Raw genomic sequence first — 15,436 nt, 5'->3', positions numbered from 1 at the left:
AGCAGCCACACATTTCTGATAGGTATTACATAAACATCAGGCAGTTTGTATAAACAGGCCTGGAGTCCCTTTTTTTTTTTTTTAATATAAGTAACAATTTTAGTTTATTGTGGTAAAATTCACATAACATAAAATTCAGCATTAACCATTTTAAAGTGTACAATTCAGTAACAGTTAGTGTATTTACGATGTTGTACAACTGTCACCAATATCTAGTTCCAGAACATTTCATCATCCCAAAAGGAAACCCTGTACTCAGTAAGCAGTCATTCCCCATTGCCCCTCACCTCCATCCCCTGGCGATCATTAGTCTGCTTTCTGGCTCCATGGATCTGCCTATTCCAGATATTTTATATAAATAGAATCATACAGTGTGTGGCCTTTTGTGTGGTGTTTTGTTCATACACTGTTTTCAAGGTTCATCCATGTTGTAGCATGATCCATCAGCACGTCATTCTTTTTTTATTTTGTTTTAATTTTTTTGAGACAGGGTCTCGCTGTGTCACCAGGCTGGAGTACAGTGGCACGATCTCGGCTCACTGCAACCTCTACCTCCCAGGTTCAAGGGATTCTTCTGCCTCAGCCTCCCGAGTAGCTGGGATTACAGGCATCTGCCACCACACCCAGCCAATTTTTGTATTTTTAGTAGAGACAAGGTTTCACTATGTTGGCTAGGCTGGTCATGAACCCCTGACCTCAAGTGATCCACCTGCCTTGGCCTCTGGGATTACAGGTGTAAGCCACTGCACCCGGCCCGGTACTTCATTCTTTTAAATGGCCAAATAATATTCCATTGCATGGGTATACCACAAATTTGTTTATCCATTCATCAGTTAAGGGACATTTGGGTTGTTTGCACCTTTTGGCTATTGTAAATAGTGCTGCTATGAACACTACTACACAAGTTTTTGTTTGAACAATGTATTCCATTTTTAGGAAAGGAGTTGCTCGGTAATATGGTAATTCATTGTTGAACTTACTGAGGAACAGCCAATTTTCCACAGAGGCTGTGTCATTTTATATTCCCACCAGCAACAATTTCTTTTCTTTCTTTCCTTTCCTTTCCTTTCCTTTCCTTTCCTTCCCTTTCCCTTTCCCTTTCCCTTTCCCTTTCCCTTTCCCTTTCCCTTTCCCTTTCCCTTTCCCTTTCCCTTTCCCTTTCCCTTTCCCTTTCCCTTTCCCTTTCCCTTTCCCTTTCCCTTTCCCTTTCCCTTTCCCTTTCCCTTTCCCTTTCCCTTTCCCTTTCCTTTCCTTTCCTTTCCTTTCCTTTTTTTGACACAGTCTTGCTCTGTTACCCGGGCTGGAATCACAGCTCACTGCAGCCTCAACTTCTCGGGCTCAAGCAATCCTGCTGCATCAGCCTCCTGAGCAGCTGGAACTACAATGTGCACCACAATGCCCAACTAATATTTTAATTTTTTGTGGAGACAGGGTCTTGCTGTGTTGCTCAGGCTGGTCTTGAACTTGAACTCCTGGGCTCAAGTGATCCTCCCACCTTAGCCTCCCCAAGTGTTGGGATTACAGGCATGAGCCATCATTCCTGGCCCAGGGTTTCAATTTATCTCCATCCATCTTTGCAACACTTGTTACTGTCAGAGTTTTTTGTTTTTGTTTTTTTGTTTTGTTTTGTTTTTGCAGTCATCCTAGTGGGTGCGAAGTGGTATCTCATTGTGATTTTGACTTGCATTTCCATAATGACTAGTGATTTTGAGGATTTTAAAAATGTGCTTATTGGCCATTTGTATATCTTTTTTGGAGAAATGTCTGTTCAAGTTCTTTTCCCCTTTTTGGAATGGGTTTTCTGTTGTTGTTGTTAAGTTGTAAGAGTTCTTTATATATCCTGGATACAAGACACTGATCAGATATATGATTTGCAAATATTTTCTCCCGTTCTGTGTGTTTTTTTCACTCTCTTGATAGTATCCTTTGATATACAAAAGTTTTCAATTTGGTTCAGTTTACCTGTTTTTTCTTTCATTGCTTGTATTTTTGGTGTCATATCTAAGAAACCATTGCCAAATCCAACATTATGAAAATTTACCCTGTATTTTCCTGTGAAAATTTTAGCTCTTATATTTAGGTCTTTGATTGATTTTACTTTTTATTTAGAGTAAGATAAGGGCTCAGCTTCGTCTTTTGCATGTGAATATCCAAATGTCCTATATTGAGTGTTTTTTGTTTGTTTGTTTGTTTTTTGAGACAGCATCTCACTCTGTTGCCCAGGTGGGAGTGTGGTGGCACCATCACAGCTCACCGCATCCTCAACCTCCCAGGCTCAATTGATCCTCCCACCTCAGCTTCCCGAGTAGCTGGGACTACAGGTGTGCACTACGGCACCTGGCTAATTTTTATATTTTTTGTAGAGAGGGGGTTTCGCCATGTTCCCCAGGCTGGTCTTGAATATCTGGGCTCAAGCGATTCGCCCACCTCGGCCTCCCAAAGTGCTGGGTTTAGAGGTGTGAGCCACTGCACCCAGCCTCCGTGTTGAGTGTTTTTATCATGAAAAGGTGTTGGATTTTATCAAACTCTTTTTCTGTATCAATTGAGAAGATCATGTGGTTTCCCTATATTCTGCTAATGCGGTACACTTGTGTTAGTTTTCTAGGCTGCCATAACAAAGTACCACAGACAGAATGGCTTAAAACAACAGAAAACACAGTTCTGGAGGCCAGAAGTCCAAAATCAAGGTGTTGGCAGCATTGACTTCTTTTGGAGACTCTCAGGGAGAATCTTCCTTGCTTCTCTCCCAGCTTCTGGTGGTTGCCAGAGGTCCTTGGTGCTCCTTGGCTTATAGAAGCATCTCTGTTTCCATCTTCACATGGCGTTCTCCTCTATATCCCTAAGCGTCTCTGTGTCCAGAGTTCACCAGTCATTGGAGTAAAGCCACCCTAAGCCAGTATTGACCTCATCTTATCTTGAGTACATCTGTAAAGAAAGTCTGTGTTTCCAAATAAAATCACGCTCACAGATACTGAGAATTAGGACTTGAACATATCTTTTTGGGGAACACAGTTTAACCCAGTACATGTGATGTGTTACATTGATTGATTTGCTTATGTTGAACCACCCTTGTATTTCTGGGGAATAAATCCCACTTGGTCATGGTATAGAATCCTTTTGATATAGTGATGGACTTGGTTTTCTAGTATTTTGTTGAGGATTTTTTGCATTTTTATTCATAGAGAATACTGGTATGTAGTTTTTTTGTGTTGTTTTTCTCTGGCTTTGGTATTTGGGTAATACTGGCCTCATATCATAAGTTAGGAAGTGTTCCCATTTCTTACAGTTTTCAGAAGAATTTGAGAGAGATTTGTGTTAATTCTTCTTTAAATGTTAGGTAGAATTTACTAGTGAAGCCATCTGGTCCTGGTCTCTTTTTTGTTGGAAGTTACTGATTTGATCTCTTGTCAGAGGTCTGCAGATTCTCTGTTTCTTCTTGAGTCAGTTGGGTAGTCTGCATGTTTCTAGGAATTTGGCCATGTCATCATCTAGGTTATCTAATTTTTTAGTATATAATTGTTCATAGCATCTCTCATAATCCCCTTTTATTTCTATAAGGCCATTAGTAATGTTTAGCATTTGAGTCTTCTTTCTTTTCTTAGTCAATCTAGCTAAAGGTTTATCAATTTTATTAATTTTTTTCAAAGAACCAACTTTTGGGTTCATTGATTCTGTCATTTTCCTGTTCTCCGTTTTGTTTATCTCTGCTCTAAGTTTTATTCTTTCCTTCCTTATGTTGCTTTGGTTTAGTTTGTTCTTCTCTTCCTAGTTCCTTAAGCTATAAAACTAGGTTACTAATCTGAGATCTTTCTTTTCTTTTCTTTTCTTTTTTTTTTTTTTTGAGATGGAGACTTGCTCTGTTGCCCAGGCTGGAGTGCCGTGGCACGATCTTGGCTCACTGCAACCTCCGCCTTCTGGGTTCAAGCCATTCTCCTGCCTCAGCTTCCTGAATAGCTGGGATTACAGGCGCACACCACCATGCCCGGCTAATTTTTGTATTTTTAGTAGACAGAGGGTTTCACCATGTTGGTCAGGCTGGTCTCAAACTCCTGACTTCATGATCCGCCCGCCTTGGCCTCCCACGCTGCTGGATTACAGACGTGAGCCACCGTACCCAGTCCAGATCTTTCTTTTTTAATGTAGGCATTTATAGCTATAAATTTCCCCCTGAGCACTGCTTTTGGTGCATCTTATGAGTTTTGATATATTTTGTTTTTGTTTTCATTTGTCTCAAAGTGTTTTCTAATTTTCTTTGTGATTTCTATTTCCCATTGGTTGTTTCAGAGGAGCCTAGGATACTTTATAACCCAGAAGGTCAAAGGTCAGTTCCTCCTTGTCACCCCATGGCTGTAGACCCACCAAGCAGAAGCTTAGGAAACCCTTTTCCTTCTCTGTTATGGGTCCCCTGGCCTGGCTGAGCGGTGGGCTCACTGTAAGTAAGCCATGTGGGCTGCCAAGAGACTGTCTCATCATGAGCCACTCGTGACCACAGGGACGTGCAGTGTTCCCAGAGAGGGTTCTGTATTCCTTAGCACTTGCTGTGTGAGTGAGTCCATGACCTTTGATGGAAAGAACAGAAACATGAAGAATTTATATATCATATTTATGAACAATTTCAGAACTAAATTGGCCAAATGAACTGAGTATCAGATTTGTGGGCTTTGATTTCTAGTTCTGAACCTCACCTGGTAAAATGTCACATCTCATCAGTTCTCAGAACAAGCATCCTGGGATTAATCTCAGCTTCAGCCCTTGCTAGTTCTGTGAGCCTGGCAAAAGCAATTTTGCAACAATGTATGTGTTCTACTCCATGCATTTGAATGGTGCATGCTGTGTGCCATGTACCATTTGAATGCATGGAGTAGAATACATATACTGTTCTCATTAAGCCTCACAGTTACCTAATGGCACTCAGGTACTGTTATCATCCCCATTTTTCAGATGAAGAAACTGAGGTACAGAGAGGTAAACAAGTTTTGTGAAATCATAAAGCTAATAAGAGATGGTGCTAGGATTTGGGCCCAGGCTGTGTGCTTCTGAATCTGCGCTGTTAACCATACTACTATGTGGTCAAGTTTATTAATATGACTCAGCCTGTTTCCTTATTAACAGATGAGGATAACAGCTCTTATACTTCAGGGCTGTTGTGAGGGTTAAGTGTTCGATGAGTGTGAAACACTTAGCCCCATGAATGAAGACAACCAGCTGGGAGGGCTATGAACTGGCTGCCCACGGTCGTGTGTACAGTTGACCAGAATTAGGGTGATGGGGCAGTGACGAGGCCTTGAATTCAGTTCAGGCACTTTGCCTCCAGCAAGCACGACTCCCCACATACAGTGACAACAGAAGGCTTTCAGGAGACTTACTTGTGCTGAAGCTGCTGATGTTCTCCAGCACATTCTCCCCACCCAGACAGGCAGAGGTCCTTTTATTTCTAGATAACAAAACTTTGCTGGTGGACACACTGCTAACATGTAGGAGAGGTGGAATTTGAACCCAGGTTCCAGAGCCGGCGCCGCCTTAGCTCCCACGTTCCCTTACTCATTCTTACTGTTGCTCCCACGTCCTGTCCCGCCCACCTCAGAGCCTGCAGTGGGACAATTCAGTATTCCTGGAATGCTGCTTTTCTTACCACCACGTGTAAACATTCTCTGCCTGACTCATGGACTAGCTCTCATGCCGCCCACACCATGAGCCTTCCTGTTCCAAACCCGGAAATGTAATGTCATCGCCACCTCCTGGGATGGGAGCCTCTGCAGTCTTGTATTCTCCACATTGGTACTCAACATCCTAGGGTAGTTTTCTCCTTCCCCACACTTGCTAGGGTGGAGGAACCTTAAAGGCTTAGCCATGAAACCCCCACTGCCCCATAACTAAGCCCTTTCATAGTGTGTTCCCTGTAGAGTTGGGCACTGCACAGCTATGGGACAGGGATGGGTGGGCAGAGGGGGTGCCAGGCAGAGGCAGGAGGCCAGACCATCACACCAGAGAGCTCTGTAGGGCTCAGAGACACTTTGATCTGCATTCTGGTCATGTGGTCATGTATGTAGCAGTAACTAAGGAGTGTGTCTTTTACAAAATAGTGCACCAGTCAGTATCAGATCGTGGTTTCCACCAGGAGTTCACATAAGAATCTCTGTGGAACTTCATAGAAATACAGAATGCTAGACATCCACCACAGACCTGCTGAGTTGACGTATCTGGGAGGTAGGACCTGGGCAGTTGTAATTTTTTTTTTTTTTTTTGAGACGGAGTCTCACTCTGTTGCCCAGGCTAGAGTGCAGTGGCGCGATCTCAGCTCACTGCAAGCTTCGCCTCCTGGGTTCACGCCATTCTCCTGCCACAGCCTCCCGAGTAGCTGGGACTACAGGCGCCCGCCACCACGCCTGGCTAATTTTTTGTATTTTTAGTAGAGATGGGATTTCACCGTGTTAGCCAGGATGGTCTCGATCTCCTGACTTCGTGATCCGCCCACCTCGGCCTCCCAAAGTACTAGGATTACAGGCATGAGCCACCGCGCCTGGCCCAGCAGTTGTAATTTTTAAAGCTTCACATATGTAACAAACAGTGACATTGGTGACCTCCAGGGAGGGAAGGTGAGAGGAGGACTATTCACGTTTGTCCTTTTTGAATTTTGAACTAGGTGATGATATTATGTGTTCAAAAAATAAATTATGTTTAAAAATCATAAGCTCTTTCATACTATATGTTGTTTATGTTTAAATATCTATGTAATAGGAGGATAAGGATTGAAATGTGCCCAGAGATGGTGGCACACTGCTGGAGGTGGGAGGGGAAAGGTGGAAGGTGAGGGTTTGGTTCCATTTGTAATGTTTTATTTGTTTAAAAAGAGACTCTTGAGGCACAATGGTAAAATCTATTCAATTTGTGAGGTACGTATACTGGATTTGTTATGTTATTTTCTGTTTGAAAGATTTTATAGTTAAGAACAAATATTTAAAAGTAAAACAAAGTCAAATATGAAATGTTCATAGATAGCTCCCACGTGCTCCTAGCTAGTGACTTAGGAGAGTGATAGGAAAGGTGAAGTGCAGGCCTGTGGCGCTTAACAGCAGGGAGTTGTTCTGAGAAACATGCTCACTAGGCGATGTCCTTTGTGTGGGAACATCACAGAGTGCATTTACGCAGACCTAGGTGGTGGAGCCTGCCACACACCTAGGCTATATAGTGTGGGCTATTGCGCCTAGAGCACAAACCTGTGCAGCATGTTACCATACTGAATACTGCAGGCAATTATAACCCAATGGTATTTGGGTATCTAAACATAGAAAAGATACAGTAACAAGATGGCATAAAAGAGAAAAAATGGTACACCTGTATAGGGAACTTACCATAAATGGAGCTTACAGGACTGGCAGTTGCTCTGGGGGAGTCAGGGATTGAATGGTGAGTGAATGCGAAGGCCTAGGACATTACCGTACACTACTGTAGACTTCATAAACACTGCTTAGACTACACTAAATTGATTTAAAAAATTTTTTTTCTTGTTTTAATAATAAGTTAACCTTAGGGCCAGGCATGGTGGCTCATGCCTGTAATCCCACAGCTTTGGGAGGCCAAGGTGGAAGGATTGTTTGAAACCAGGAATTCGAGACCAGCCTTGGCAGTCATAGTCAGGCCTGCCTCTACGAAAAACTTTTTAAATTAGCCAGGTGCAGTGGCATGCACTTGTAGTCCTAGCCACTGGGGAAGCTGAGGCGGGAGGATCGCTTGAGCCCAGGAGTTCCAGTCTGCAGTGAGCTCTGATAGTGCCACTGCACGTCAGCCTGGGTGACAGAGCGAGACCCTGTCTCAAAAATAAATAAATACATACATAAAAATAACCTTAGCTTACTGTAACTTTTTACTTTTATAAAAAGTTTATTTTTTAATTTTTTAAAACTTTTTTACTCTTTTGCAATAACACAGCTTAAAACAAACACATTATACAGCTGTACAAAAACATTTTCTTTCTTTATATCCTTATTCTATAAGCTTTTTCTGTGCTTAAAGTTTTTTATTTTTTACTTTTTAAACTTCTTTGTTAAAAACTAAGACATAAACACTCACATTAGCCTCGGCCTACACAGGGTCAGGATCATCAGTATCACTGCTTCCACCTCCACATCTTGTCCCCCTGGAAAGTCTGCAGGGGCCATAACACCCATGGAGGTGTCACCTCCTACGATAACAGTGCCTTCTTCTGGATACCTCCTGAGGGACCTGCCTGAGGCTGTTTTACAGTTAACTTTTTGTTTACTAAGTAGAAGGCATATACTCTAAAATAATGATTAGACGTATAGTATAGTAAATACGTAAACCAGTACCATCGTCGTTGATTATCAAGTATTATGCACTGTGCATAATTGTACGGGCTTGAATTTTATGCAGCTGGCCGGGCAGTAGGTTTGTTTACACCAGCATCACCACAGACACATGAGTAAATGCACTGACCTACGATATCACAAGGCAATGGGAATTTTTCAGCTCCATTATGGTGCTATGGGATTACAGTCGTATACATGGTCTGTTGTTGACTGAAATGTCGTTATGTGGTGTGTGACTGTATTGATCACCCTCACTGAGAATTAGAGTCAGGGGCTTCTACGCATTAATAATATCAGTCACGCATGAAACGCGAGTAGTGTGGGTGAGGTCCCTGGCCTGCACTGCTGTAGCGTGGGTGAGGTCCCTGGCTTGCACTCCTAAGTATTTGTTTCTTTTTGTTTCAGGTGTTTGTGGCCAGTCCTCACAAAACACAGCCTATTGTGGAGATCCTGTTAAAAAATCAGCCCAAACTCATTGAGTTTCTGAGCAGCTTCCAAAAAGAAAGGACGGATGATGAGCAGTTCGCTGACGAGAAGAACTACTTGATTAAACAGATCCGAGACTTGAAGAAAACGGCCCCTTGAAGAGCTCCCCGGCCCCTGTCACAGTCAGTCGTCTCATTTGTCCAGTTTGTACAGTGTGTCATTTCAGAAAGTCATCATTCTTGGGAAGACTTTGGAGGTGCCTATTTTTTCTGCTGTAATTGTTCTGGGTAGATGGAGTATAAACATTTGAATGGAAAAAAATTAACCTAGAATAATATATTCATTTTAGTCAAGTCTGTGATTATTTATGTGAAATGAGAACCATTGTATCAGATGTTGATAAAAGCAATTTTAACTTGCAGATGTGAGCCCCTGGGCACAATGAGCCGCTAAATGGGAGCTCAATTGACAGGCATCACCAAGTCTTCAAGGAGGACTGAGTTCTCAGGGGAGAACTGGGAATGGGGCCAGGGTGCAAAAATGCTTTGCCCATCTGTAGGTAGACACACAGATCGCTCAGGGCACTGAGAGATCCCAGAAGGTAACGTTAATGTTTTCAGTCATTGTGTGTCCTTTGTTGCTGCCAATGTCTTTGGACTGTAATCAGTGCATCCACACCTCCCAGGATCCAGTGCTCCCTCTCAGCTCAGTCTCCCCTCTCTCCCTGTCCTGCATTCCATCCCAGCTCCTCAGCATGGCCTCAGTGGGCGCACCCATGCCTCCCGCAGTCCAGGTGAGCAGGGGAGCAACTGAGCAGGAAGAGGATGGATCAACAAGGGTCACGGGGAATAGGGGACCCACGGGGTGTGACCTGCTTGCTAGAGAACTGTGAACATGTGGCTCTGGATAGAGTGACTGCTGCTCCATATTAGCTTCCAGAGGGTGAGTGAGGGACAGAATATTTCCTTCATAATGGTCATGGGTGAATGCTTTCTGCTGTAAGTGTCTTTTAGAGTAGGAATCAGCATAGTGGGATGCCCAGCAGGCACAAACCATGGGTCCAGGGAGTCTCAGCGGGGAACTTCTATCAGTATCAATAACCATTGGAAGGAGAAATGATTCATGTGTGAAAAAATTCTCAGATCCATCAATAAATTTTTTTCAGAGCCATTGTATCAGATGTTGATAAAAGCAATTTTTTTCTAATAAGCTGTCATTCTATAATTGCCCATCACAGTCTTTAGTGAACACATAGAAAGCCTATACAGTTTTGGTCCTGAATAGTCTCTTGTGACTAGGATGATTGAGGTGTTAATTCCTCTTCCTTATAAAAAGGCTTGGAATCAAAAATATTTTAAAAGGCCGTGGTTTCGTTTCAGACATCAACCATCTAAAACGGGATTTTAAAGCGATATTTTACAAGAATGAAAGGCACAATTGTTGATCTGTATTTTTTACACTTCAGTTTCTAAATCATGAATCGTTGCCTTCCACAGGAACCCTCCCTTATACATTACTTGAGTGTTGTGTAGTTTTTCTTCAGCCAGGTATTTCTCTGCCTAGAGAGGGGAAGAGAAATGTGTTCTCCAGGACTGATCCCCTTTGTAGATTTTGTACCTGAAGAGTTACCTGGCAGGGCACCACCCTTGGCTAGGCCCAGGTGTGTGTTTCTTTCTTGCCTGGCATGGACCCCGAGGCAGGTGATGTGGGGCCTGGCGCACCTCCCCGCTTTGGCAGCTGTGGCCTCCCTGGCCAGTGCCCTTGCAGGAGGCCGGCCGGCAGCCTGATGACCCGTACTCTTTAGTCACTGACGTCAGATTATTTTTATAACGTTCCCTGACAGTTCAGAGTCCCTTCGAATTGCACTTTTCTGGTTTCGCTTATTTAATTAAAAGAGATGAGTGTAAGTATAAAAAATGAAGGTGAAATAACCATTGGAATTGTATTTGGTTACTTAATACTGTTCCACAACATCTTGGGACGTCTGTTTTCCTTTGGAGAGTGAGGCCTTGTTATTATTCTTTTCTGATAAAGAAAACATTTTATTTCCTTTGGGCTTGCATTAGCTCTTTCCTAGCAACCCATTATCCCAGCTCAGTACCTTTCAAACAGAAAACTAGAGTCTGGGGTTTTGTTGTGATCTGAATTTGTAAGTTATTAATGTGAAAGGGGGAGCAGGAAGCTCCCCCTTTGCACAAAGGGGGATTTGTTTGCACAAAGTTCACTGTAAATACTGTGAGAATTGAATTCTGAAAAGGTCATATTTAGTGATTTCAAAAGCACACATTTAAATGAAGACTGACTAAATAAAAGGTACCACACACTTCTTGGTTGGTTTCATTCCATTGCATGTGTGTGGCTGTGTTTGTTCTTGCCACCGTTCCAGGCAGGGAAAGCCTTATGCTGCCCCAGGGCCCCAGCACACCTTCCTGTATGCCCCACCAACCAGTGACCCTGCACCCGTCCCATCGTCAAGGCTGTGAACTAGGGATGGTCCAGGGCATCAGAAACCATGTGGAACTCTCCCCCACTGCTGCCTGGGAGGTTCCCCAGCTGGAAGCGTCCTAGCGTTAGGCCAGTAGGGACTGAGATCATAATGTTCTTGGACGAGGCTCTTGGCCAGAGCCAGGCATCTGCCCAGAAGTTAGGATTGCTCCTGGAGAAAACACTCAGGAGCACCCTCCCCTTGGAAATGTCCCAGACCCTCAGCCTCATAGGCGGACCTCCTTTGATGGCTCTGGGGGAGCAATGTGGCTGTCCAAGGAGGGGCTGTGAGCTTTCCACAGCCCCCCTCACCAGCCAGACTGGTTTGTCTGCATTTCCCATGAGACACAGCTGCTGTGAGCCATAGCACAGTCTAGAAATTATATAAGACTGAAAGTGATTGTAACAATGTGAAGGAAAATGAAATTCAAAGATTCCTGGAATCGTTTTTAATGTCAAAAGATAGTTGTTTCAAAACAGATTTACAAATCTTGCTGGCCTGTTGTATTAGAGGACATTACGATTTTATGTCTTTTACTTGTTTTGCCATTTTATCCAAAAGAATATTATACATGTGGCATGAATGAACACCATCTCTTCATGAGTGTTCTTTCAGAAAGGTTTTGGATATTGTATTGGGGGCTCACAGTTAGATAAAGGTCTGAAACATATACTATTGGGATACCCTGAAAAGCTAGACTTAGTCTACATAAAAAGATTGAAAAGATTGAAGATGGATGTAAACAAGGTGTGATTTTGTTTTTGAAACATGGAAACTGCTGTTATGTAGCTGCCATAATAAGCAGAGAAAAGCTGAGTGTTCGGTCTGGTCTGCACTAAGCCTGCACAGACATCTCACTCGAGTCTCCACCTGATGGAGGGAAACTTGGACCACAGAGAGGGTGAGTAACTCCCTCCAGATCAGACAGCTGGCCACAGAGCCAGGATTTAGGGCCAGGGCTGACCCCAAGGTCCATGTCTTTGGAAACCAGGCTGTGAATTCAGGCCCCTCGGCCTATTCTTCAGCTCTCTGTCCCAGGACAGATAACTTCATCTCCTCCCAGCCCCCACGGAAAAAGGAATTCTGGATACCAGCGCTAAAGGATAACTCAGCGGAAAGATTTCAAAAGCTAGATTCATTCAAGGGGGTAGGTAACTTAACTTCACTTGGTTGTCTGATGTTTGGAAGATCTAATTAGACCTCTGTATAGCGTAGGGACATTCAGTCTTGAACCTCTCCAATATTTTGAGCAGTCCTTCAACTTGACATAGGCATTAATTTCAGATTGCAGCGGTGGCAGTGGCTTATGCCTCTAATCCCAGCACTTTGGGAGGTGGAGATGGGGGTGGGCTGGGGATGGGGGGCGGGTATGGCAGAGTTGGGGGATCAGGATTGCTTGAGCCCAGGAGTTTGAGACAAGCCTAGGCAACGTAGCGAGACTTCATCTGTAGAAAATAAAATTAAATAATTAAAGTGTTAAAAAATTTTTTCAGATTGCAATTCTGCACCTGTTTTGTTTTCTTGGCTTTCTTTTTCAGTTGGACATAACATTAGCTTAGATTTCCTGACAGGAGCGATTGCCACTCAGCCAGCCATTCCACCATTTCCCAGTGGCCCCAGCACCATGGGGCTACAGAGGCTGAAGTTCATGGTGGATGCACATCCAATACCTGCCAGGGTCCCCGCCTTCCCTCATCACTTCCTCCTCATGGAGGAGCATGTGCAGTTACAATACCCTAAAATAAAGTCGCCATCAAAACACACAAAAAGCCGCAACCCCTTTACCATCAACCAATGTAACATAGATGCAATTTAATCACTCCACTGAGAGCCATCTGTGTTACTTTAAAATACTGTGATCATAGGGTCCCTTTGGAGAATATGTTGCAATATACATTGATAATTTATCCTTTAGGGAAGGTTGGAAAAAATAAGATCACTTTTAGTTTTAGTTCTGATATTTAAAGCTGTAAAGCAAAAATATGTATTCAACTACTCATTTATTTGTTCATTTAACATCTGTTGAATTCATTCTCCTTGCTGGTTAGGGATGGATCCTGGGACAGGACCCCGAGTGACACACCGGGGTTACTGTAGGCCTCCTGTGGTGGTGGAGCTCGTGGGGCAGGGGAATCAGAGGCCTTTGTAAGTCTGTCCCCTGCAGCTGGCACTGGGGCCGAGTCAGCAGAGAAGGGAGGATAGACAGGAGGTGAGGAGCCCGGGGGGAAGGGCAGATCCCTCTGCCGACCCTGAGGACATGGCGGACCTACAGAAGGGCAGGCACCCTTCAGTGCAGAGCCCCCCACACTGGGCCCACAGTGGTGAAGCTGAAGGGGGAGGTGCAGGGAATGGGGAACCCTGACAACAAGGGGAGCCAGAGGTCTCTGACAACGCCAGCCAGCTGTGACCACACGGGGCCCGCCCCAGTTCACCTCCCCTCACAGCTGACACGATGTGCTCTTGGGACCAACTCTAATTCATCACCTGCCAGAGAGGGAATTGTGGAAACACGCTCATGCTTAGCAAAACAGACATTGCAGATGCCGCCAGATGTGTTCTGCCCTGGGGAGATGCTGACATACACCCTGCTACCATCCTTTCCCATCTCGGAGACGTCAGGTCCCTTTTTCCTTTGAAATGTCATCTACTCATGAGAGGTTTGTGTGGATTAACTAGAACCACCTGGACTTTGGGATAGGCCACACCTGGACTGAAATCCTGGCTCCACGGCTAGCTGTTCCCTCTTGAGAATCACCGAGCTTCCAGGAAACAGGCCAAAAGAGGACCTGCCTCACAGGATTGTTGTGGGAACCAACGAGGTAAAGTAGGTGACATGCCGGGCTCAGATTCGGCGCCCACATTAGCCCCGTCACCAGAGCGAGAGATTCCCGCTGCAGGGAGGGCCGTGGGCACGAAGCATGGCTGGAAAATGACGAGGCGTGTGCGCTTTGTCCGGGGCATGTGGGGATGTGAGAGGGCCGGGAGGGAGCCTTAAATGCCCAGCTAAGGGTCTGACGCCATCATTAAGGCGGCTGGCCTTTATTCAGGAAGTGACCTGAACACCTGTGTGTCTGGTGGGGGAGAGCTCTGGAGCCGGGCCTGGAGGGGGAACAATGAGGGAGGGTGGGATGATGAGCGCCAGCTGGTAACAGCGAGTGCGAACTCGGTGCTGCTGGCAGTCCCCCTCCAGATGCTTTAGAGTATTAACATCAGTCTTCAGAAACCTTATGAGGTGCGTACTGTGATTATCCTGTCAACCTAAATAACCAGAGAGTGGCTCTCAAAGAAAGTGATGTTTACTCAGGAATAGGGCACTGCCAGGGAGTATGCCTGCCAGAGTAAAAAGCACGTGTGCCTTCAGGGAGATGAAGGAAGGCAAAGGTGAAGGAAAGTGAGGACTGTATTGTTGCTTTGAAGTAATGATCCTTGGCTGCAAGGGTTAATTGCAAGAGGGACACCAGTCCAAGGCTGGACAGGTAGTTACTGGGCAGCTGTCCTCCTAGAAGCATTTTTTGTGCAAGGTTGCAGTTTTCATAGTCTGCCGTGGTAGTTTTTGTTATTAGGCATTTATGCATGCGAATATTTCTCTTCATGGCCTTCCCTTGGCTCTATTTGTCAGGATTTGTTTTTAACAAAAGTGGCTCCATTCTGATTATGACATCTTTCACAATCCCAATATTACAGGCATGGAAACAGGGACTGAGAGGGTTGCTCACCCAATTATACAGTGAGCAGATGGTGGTGCAGGATTCAAACCCAGAGCCCAGAGGCAGCAGCCATAGAACTTGGGAGATACTTAGGATTTACTATTGACCAGGCATAGCTGAACCATTTCTGGAGGACATGGGCCTGTGGCGTGGGTGACCTGAGTAGAAGGGGATGTGCTCAGCCAAGACAGGGAGCCCGGGATGGGGGGCAGAGGCACACGAGTGTCCTGTGCCTGGAGACGTGGCGTGGGGATGTCCAGGCAGCCGTTGGACAAATGAGTCTGGGGCTCAAGAAAGACGTGGGCCAGAGGCACCGATTTGGCGGTCACTGAGATTTAGGGAGCAGCTGAGGTCTGGGTGAAGAGGAAGCGATCCATTCCTTGCTGCGATTCAAACCTCCGGACCCACCCAACTTTTCACCTGCCTCCATTTGTATTTTAACCTTATCTGTAACCTACATCCCACCTCAACCCGAGGTGTGGGGGTGGCTG

General features: G+C 44.8%; 1 protein-coding gene across 12 annotated transcripts in view, besides 2 other annotated features; it reads left to right on the top strand.

Annotated features, from left to right (window-relative positions):
- The window catches only part of CAB39L (calcium binding protein 39 like), a 135,415-nt gene extending 124,339 nt beyond the window's left edge, over positions 1-11,076 (top strand). For all 12 annotated transcript variants that reach the window (NM_001079670.3, NM_001287337.2, XM_047430698.1 and 9 more), the window contains one exon: positions 8,733-11,076. In NM_001079670.3, the coding sequence (NP_001073138.1) occupies positions 8,733-8,912 (180 nt within the window). In that variant the 3' untranslated portion in view covers positions 8,913-11,076. The remainder of the gene's footprint in view (positions 1-8,732) is intronic.
- Positions 4,570-5,769: an enhancer, noted in NCBI's record as "P300/CBP strongly-dependent group 1 enhancer chr13:49888093-49889292 (GRCh37/hg19 assembly coordinates)". NCBI's record gives its function as "activates an origin of replication core promoter dependent on BRD2, BRD4, P300/CBP, MED14 and CDK7 cofactors, with strong dependence on P300/CBP, by STARR-seq in HCT116 cells {active_cell/tissue: HCT116}" and the evidence as "EXISTENCE:reporter gene assay evidence [ECO:0000049][PMID:35650434]".
- Positions 13,030-13,529: an enhancer, noted in NCBI's record as "H3K4me1 hESC enhancer chr13:49880333-49880832 (GRCh37/hg19 assembly coordinates)". NCBI's record gives its function as "activates a minimal SCP1, AML or CMV promoter by ChIP-STARR-seq in primed H9 embryonic stem cells {active_cell/tissue: H9 hESC(primed)}" and the evidence as "EXISTENCE:reporter gene assay evidence [ECO:0000049][PMID:30033119]".

The sequence above is a fragment of the Homo sapiens genome, chromosome 13 (genome assembly GCF_000001405.40).
Source record: "Homo sapiens chromosome 13, GRCh38.p14 Primary Assembly".
NCBI lineage: Eukaryota > Metazoa > Chordata > Mammalia > Primates > Hominidae > Homo > Homo sapiens.
The sequence above is the reverse complement of the archived record's forward strand: the minus strand, read 5'-3'. Positions and strand labels throughout refer to the sequence as shown.